A 6899-nucleotide genomic window follows, 5' to 3' on the forward strand; every position below is an offset into this window, starting at 1 on the left:
AAAATAAATAAATAAATAAAATAACAAAGATAAATATTCGTATAAAATTTTTCAGCTTTGGGCATTAGAGTACTAACTTCACAATTCTTGCTATATTCTGTATCATTTGTGCCATTAATTTTTTCTCATCAACCAATTTTTTTACATTAATGAATTTATTGTAACAGAAAAGTAATAACACTCATGAAGTCTTGCATTCAAGATGTGAATTCTTTTTGAAAATAAATGCAGAATAGTAAGACAAAATATGTTCATCTCTCTACCACTTACTGTTAGCATTTCACATACCACACCTTGAGAGACTGTGTGAGGTTTGGTAGAGAAAACCAAATGTGAAGATCCCTTTGCCAAACTGGTAACAACTGAGATCTCTGTTGGTGAGGTGGGAATGGGATATTAGAAAGACATTTCTTCTTCTCCATTATAAATATCTGGGATATTTGGATTTTTATAATGAGCACATAGTACCTTTCTACTTAGGAATTAATGAATATTTATTCCAAGTTTTCTCTGTCTTAGATTATCTGTCAGAGAAACAAATATCACACTAACTAGACCAAAGAAGATGTGAAGGAACTGCAAATGAATCACTTTTTAAATGAGGCCCATGCTGTGCTCTAGCTGCAAGGTGATCGCTGTCATCTAAATGTCAAAGGCAGGATTGATCTGTGATCGTGAACGACACAATGAGTCTGTGTGCATGGGCAATTTGGCAAGTGACTGCCATGCTGCTTCCCACAGCACCAGCACTTATTCCAGTTCCTGGCCCAGAAGTCACTGGATAAAATAGACTCCTGTCACCAACGGTGGGGATCTGCTGTCAACCTAAGACTGCAGCTCTAGAGGGAATAAAGGCATTCACTGCTGCCCCTGGAAGATCATAATCTTGAATGCTCAGGTTGGTAAAATCAGGGCCTGTGCCAATTTAGAGGTAGAGAAGAAGGGATGAATGGAACAGGAGGAGTGGAAGGCATGGTGGATTGAGTTTGCGCAGCACCTTGCCACCCTTTATGCTATGATCCCTTCACAGAGGAACCCAGAGATCAGCATTCTCCATTCATGCAGCTCTTCTTCCCTCCCTAGGCAGATGACTCTGCTCCATTTGCTATATCTCCAACCTGAAATCGTGTAGTAAATAGCAGTGACAATGCAGCGGGAAGGGATGTGTCTGTTTATCTAACTCTATCTGTTGGCATCCAGAAATCTTACTCTACAGTGCATGCCGCCAATAATTGTTATTATGTAAAGGCAACATTCTGGATCAAATTTCCCTGGTAGATGAGTGCAGCTGAAAAATACATAATCCAAATTTGTTTCCACCTTGATTAAACTTTCCTTTACTTACACAATGAGAGACCCACAAGAAGTCAGTACGATTCTGGCAAGTGACCAAAGATGAATGTGTAAGCATCGCAAACACTGCCAAACACCTAGAAAACACTGGCAATTACACAATCAAACAGAGATGCTAAAAGAAATTTTAATAATTGTTATATAACATACTGTGCAGCTATTCCATGAAATCTACCTCTGTATAATAATTATTAAAGTATCTAAGTCTTGAAATGTATGATAAGAATATAGTAGTTTTTTGGGTATAATTTCCATAAAAATGCATAAGTGAAACAAATTACTAAAATAAGAAACAGGAGGTGTTCTATACATACTGTTGTCATCATATGAAATTACTCTATTAACTAAATTAACCTGACATTGTCACCCTGAAAAGCAAAATCAAGACAAAACTAATTCTTCTCAAATTTAATAAACAAATAAAACGTTGGCCTCTCTCTGACTTACTATAGCACAAGAAGGCAACCTTCAGCTTCCAGCTACCTCTGGTACTCAGCTGCATTGCTCTGGACAGGAAAGTAATTCTAAAGACAGGAAGGCAAATCCTACATTTGTGCTCAGGGTTACAAAAATGATACCTGACTTCAAAAAATCCCAAGCCCAAATTTACAGAATCTGAAACTTTGTGGATGGAGGCCAAGCAATCTGGGTTTTAACAAGTTCTCCAGATGATTCTGATCCATATTAAGGTTTGCCATAAGGAAAGTAGTCCAAGGCTTATCTCTGTTCTCCTCCCAGTGTCCTTTGTAGCTCCCTACCTAGTCCCTAATCATCCCCAAGGAGATGATGCGGATTCGTCAGACATGAGAACACTAGGTGGGCCATGTTTACCAGTAGGTGGGGGTCATTTTGCATTAAAAGGTCAGTTCCCAGACATAGTTCTCTGCCTTCTGTCTCTTCCACCCATGAATCCAGAGTGGCGAGTTTTCTTAACAAAATGAGTCCTGCAATCAGCATTCCCTTTTAGATGTTTTCTCTCCAGAAGACAGAGATCTTGGCTAAACCAAGTAAAGGCCTATGCACTAAACTAAAGTAAAGGCCTATGCACTAATAATATTATTTAATTCCCTTTTACAAAAATTACTAAATAAGTATATTTTTTCAAAATGAAACAAAACTTATTGTATGCTTATATTAGAAGTATCTTTCCAAATTTTTCTAGAAATATTCAAAAAAATTGACTTTTTCTCTCTTTATCCCAGCACATATTTAGTCTTCCCATACAGTACCTTAGCCTGGCCCTGCAGAGAAAAACCAAGGTTATCAAGCAGTCTCTACCAGTTCCGCTGGATGCACATAGCATGGATTCCTTCTCCAGCACAGGCCATGTGTGTGTTGGATGGTCCTTTCCTGATGGTAAGTTTGAAGATTCAGGAGTGAACTTCAGGACACAAAACAGAAGATGCGCACAAGCTTTGGAAAGATGAGCTTCAGGAGGTCCTGCTCAGCTTCTCAGCAGTTGGTACTTGGGTCCAAAGCTACAGCAAACAATAAGGTAGTACTTTCCCTCCTACTCATGGACAATTGTCTCCTTGTGTATTATATTTATTTTTCTCAAAAACTAAATGGAAGCAGCAGTTGATTATGGACATTCTTGTGTTCCAATTCCTCCATCACTTCTAACAAACAAGTAGTAAACCTGATGCTCTGGACACCTAACAGAAATGTAAAAAAATATGGGACACAGTACATGCAAAAGAGCTTTGACTCTTTTAGAAGAAAGCTGCTACCTAAACCCAAGGGATCCTCCTGATAACCCATACTGGGAATTACAGTTTTCACAATGTCAAAGATATAGAACTAGTGACTTCTACACACCCACTCTTCACAATAACAGTAAGCAGTGATGTGTTCTTCCTCCCTACAAAAGTACTTCATCATTATGTTATTTATTCTAGCTCCTGGAAGGATACACACCTCCCTCAGCTTCTTGGCTTCCTACTGGCCATGATGTTCACTGTGTACACAGTCAAAAAGAACTCCTGAAAGCCACTGGAACACTCATCTATAGGTACTCCACTAAGCAACTTTCTAAGTCTCTCTGATCAAGCCACTGCTACCATGTGCGCAATGATGCCGCAGCAAGGATAGGCCAGTCATAGGAGTGTGTCCAGTATGCCTGCTGGCATTTCTTCCATTCCAAGCCCTTCTTGACCCTCACAGAGGGGACACAGGCTCTGAAGACAGAGAGGTGACTGATATGTTTACAAGAATTGTTTGTGAGCCAGGAGGCTCTTGGATTTCTTCACTGCTTTAGCTGAAAGATTCTGCAGAAAGATTATTTCAGGGCACTCACTGCCATCTGGGGTTACGTAATAGCAATCATCCAAATAAGTGATTATTTACATTTTTATGCAAAATCATCAAAGCCCAATTCCTGGTCTGAGAGAGGGAAGGGGACGGAAGGATTTGAAGTTTCTGTCTTCGGTAGCTGACAGCTTATTATTAACAAAGGCAAGATGTCAAAGATTTGATTTTGTGTCACCCCTTTCACTGACTTCATACCCAAGCAAATGCATTTGGCAACCTCGAATCAGAGCACTAGGACACCTGCCTGCCATTTCCAGTTCAGGAAATGGAGTTATAGTCTAAGTCTGGATGAGCCTGAGCTCATTTCAGAGGGGAAGGTAGCAAGCTGGAAAGGACACTTGCCTGCAGTTAGCTCAGATTTACAGTGTTTATTGGAAATAAATGCTCACAGTCTAGTGTGTTTAGGTGTGTAAGCAGAGGTGGCTCCTAGGCAGAGTAGGACAGCAGACATCTGTCCAGGATAGGCATTAGGCTAATTGGGATAGGGAGTGGGGTGACAAGGAAGGGCTGCAGTTCTCTGACAAGCTCATAGTCAGTGAGGCACAGAGCTCCTATGTCTAGAGGCACTTGAGGCTGCCATGGGGCCATCTTCACACTTGCATATTCAGCTGGAAGAATTTTCATAAGTAATCAATGATCCCTGTCTCCACTGATGTACTTGTATGTAGAATGCCATAAATTATGTTCTCTTCCAGATTTTCTGATCAGTCAGAAATGTGGTTACTCCTAGTCATTTCCCTGGCTTTATAGCATAAAGAAAAAGAGTTTTCAGGAATTGGAATCTTATTTACATATAAAATGGAATTTGTCAGAGGAAAAAACTTGGAGATCTTAGCTGTCCACAAGATCAATAAGTGCCAAATATATGATGGAGTTACAAAACATAAAATAACTAAAGGAATCTTGAAGCGCATTCTCATTTCCAGAAGGATAATGTATGAAATATCAGTGGTGATATTTCCATTTTTCTGGCACTTTGTTCTTTTCCAAGTGCCTCATTTTAAAAGAGTCACTACATCAGTTAGGATGCCTTTGAGAAAGGAGAAAGGAAAAAACCCAGTCAGGCAGGCAGTTAGGGTGGGTCCTCAGTTGAATCCTCTCAAACAAAAGAACAGCCTACAGGCAGAGATAAGGGAACTTGTACAGGGGGGCTTGATGTACAGATAAGAAAGGCTACACAGGTGACTTGCCCAGACATGCCCACAATGGAAAATTCCATCCTCACACATGCACAATAAGAGGAACAAAGCAATATGGAATAACTCAAGCTAAGGACACACATGCACATAAGGAGTATGGGGTGGAACTACCCGAAATTCGCACCTTATGCAAATGAGATGCCCAGCACTCATTGGTTTCCTATAAAAGCCTTTGCATTCAACTGTAAAAATGGCAAGCCTATTCCAGGTCCCGTCTCTGCAGTGGAGAGCTTTCTCTCTTTCTTTCACTTATTAAACTTCTGCTCTAACCTCACCCTTGGTGTTTCTGTATTCTTGCTTTCCTCCGCCATGAGATTTCAGGTGGCACCCCAGACAACAAGGTCATTTCACCTTCAGCCACTGGTAACTGAAAACTCTAACTAAAATTACCAAAGATGACAACGATATGTGATAAGTTATAAAAAAATAAATAAACAGTTCGGAAATCTGACACACTGATTTCTGCGATTCACTTGGCTTTGTTCCTCCCCATGTGTTTGCTTCATCCTCCAGCTTGTAGCCAGATAGCTATGAGCATTCTGGGCTCCACATCCAGACACAGTAAAGTCCACAGGCAGAAAGGTATCACCTTTCCAGGTGTCTCCTACTTAGGAGTGAGGAAACATCTCCCAGAAGCCTCCCCTCCCCCTAGAAATCTCTTCTTGCATCTTACTAACCAGAACTGGTTTTCAACACCATACCTAAAGCAGCCACTGGCAAAAGGACTGAGATTGCCAATACTTTCAAAGACTAACCAGAAGCCACTGCAAGGTCTAGAAGTGCTGATGGCTTCCTGAAGGACATGGACATGTGAAAGCGGGATGGATGTCTCAGAAAATGCAGGACTCTGTTAGGAAGAAGAAGGCAGAAAACAGCTATTGCACAGACTACTAGCAGTACCTGCTGAAGGCATTCATCAACTGTACTACATGCAAGGGAGGACAATAGAAATATGTTATAAGTGACACATCTCTTTTTCAATTCAGAACACACTTCAAAGGTAAGGTTTGCAACTAAAGGTCTCAGAAAGATGAGAATCCGCTCATCAGATACTGCTTAGCAGAGGATAAGAGCAGAGACCTTCAGGCCTGGTCAAAGCATGTGCAGCTCCTGCCACCATGAGGACCTGCAGCGCAATGACCTCCGAGGCAGCAAGGATGAGCCCTGCGGCTTTTCCCCTTCAAGACCTCAAGACATATCCTGTGAAGGTTCTTACCAATTAAATCATATAAAAGCAATGGTTGGAAAAACAGGAGTTGTGTAGCTCAAAGAAAGAAGAAAATGGGGCCCAGTTTCTGCCTTCTAGACTCTAAAATACTGCCCTGGCCACACCTAGTGTCTTATGCCTGTAATTCCAACAATTTGGAAAGCAGAGGCAGGAGGATTGCTTTAAGCCGGGAGGTAAGAGACCAGCCTAGACAACATGATAAGACCCTGTCTCTACAAAAAATAAAAATTAAAAACTAACATGCAACTGTAGTCCTAGCTACTTGGGAGGCTGAAGCAGGAGGATCGCTTGAGTCCAGGAGTTCAAGGCTGAAGTGAGTTATGATCATGCAACTGCACTCCAGCCTGAGTTACAGAGCAAAACCCTATCTCAAAAAAATAAAAATAATAAAATAAAATATTGGACTGTCTTGTATAGTTCTGGAGGCAAAAACCAGATACTGTGAGTAGAAGTTTCAGGGAAAGGACTTTCAGCTCAATATAAAGTTGAGGTTTAGAATTCTCCAATAACAGATGGAACTCAAGTGTAAAGCAGAGAGGTCCCTGTTATTAAAGGAGCTCAAGTATGTCTAGTGGCAAGGAAGCTTTTTAATAACAATATGACAGGACTGACAGTGCTAGTAACTTGTAATGCTGAATGAATACTTGGATGATTGCCATATATAACATGCATTTACTTAACTTTCTCAAATCTGAAAGAGTTGTTTTTATTAAAAGTTATAACCAGGAATCTCCTCTCCATTAATGAAGTTAGGGCATGAGTTTATTTCCGCTGTATGAATAAGGTACAAAGTAATGGCCAAACCAAAC

The 6899-nt window shown here is 40.6% G+C and overlaps 4 annotated features.

Annotated features, from left to right (window-relative positions):
* Window positions 226–967: an enhancer, noted in NCBI's record as "OCT4-NANOG-H3K27ac-H3K4me1 hESC enhancer chr5:114364005-114364746 (GRCh37/hg19 assembly coordinates)". NCBI's record gives its function as "activates a minimal SCP1, AML or CMV promoter by ChIP-STARR-seq in naive and primed H9 embryonic stem cells {active_cell/tissue: H9 hESC(naive and primed)}" and the evidence as "EXISTENCE:reporter gene assay evidence [ECO:0000049][PMID:30033119]".
* Window positions 968–1707: an enhancer, noted in NCBI's record as "NANOG-H3K27ac-H3K4me1 hESC enhancer chr5:114364747-114365486 (GRCh37/hg19 assembly coordinates)". NCBI's record gives its function as "activates a minimal SCP1, AML or CMV promoter by ChIP-STARR-seq in naive H9 embryonic stem cells {active_cell/tissue: H9 hESC(naive)}" and the evidence as "EXISTENCE:reporter gene assay evidence [ECO:0000049][PMID:30033119]".
* Window positions 4273–5472: an enhancer, noted in NCBI's record as "MED14-independent group 3 enhancer chr5:114368052-114369251 (GRCh37/hg19 assembly coordinates)". NCBI's record gives its function as "activates an origin of replication core promoter dependent on BRD2, BRD4, P300/CBP and CDK7 cofactors, and independent of MED14, by STARR-seq in HCT116 cells {active_cell/tissue: HCT116}" and the evidence as "EXISTENCE:reporter gene assay evidence [ECO:0000049][PMID:35650434]".
* Window positions 5872–5921: an enhancer, noted in NCBI's record as "active region_22923". NCBI's record gives its function as "activates an Ori minimal core promoter by ATAC-STARR-seq in GM12878 lymphoblastoid cells {active_cell/tissue: GM12878}" and the evidence as "EXISTENCE:reporter gene assay evidence [ECO:0000049][PMID:35858748]".

This window comes from Homo sapiens, chromosome 5, assembly GCF_000001405.40.
Source record: "Homo sapiens chromosome 5, GRCh38.p14 Primary Assembly".
Taxonomy (NCBI): Eukaryota; Metazoa; Chordata; class Mammalia; order Primates; family Hominidae; genus Homo; species Homo sapiens.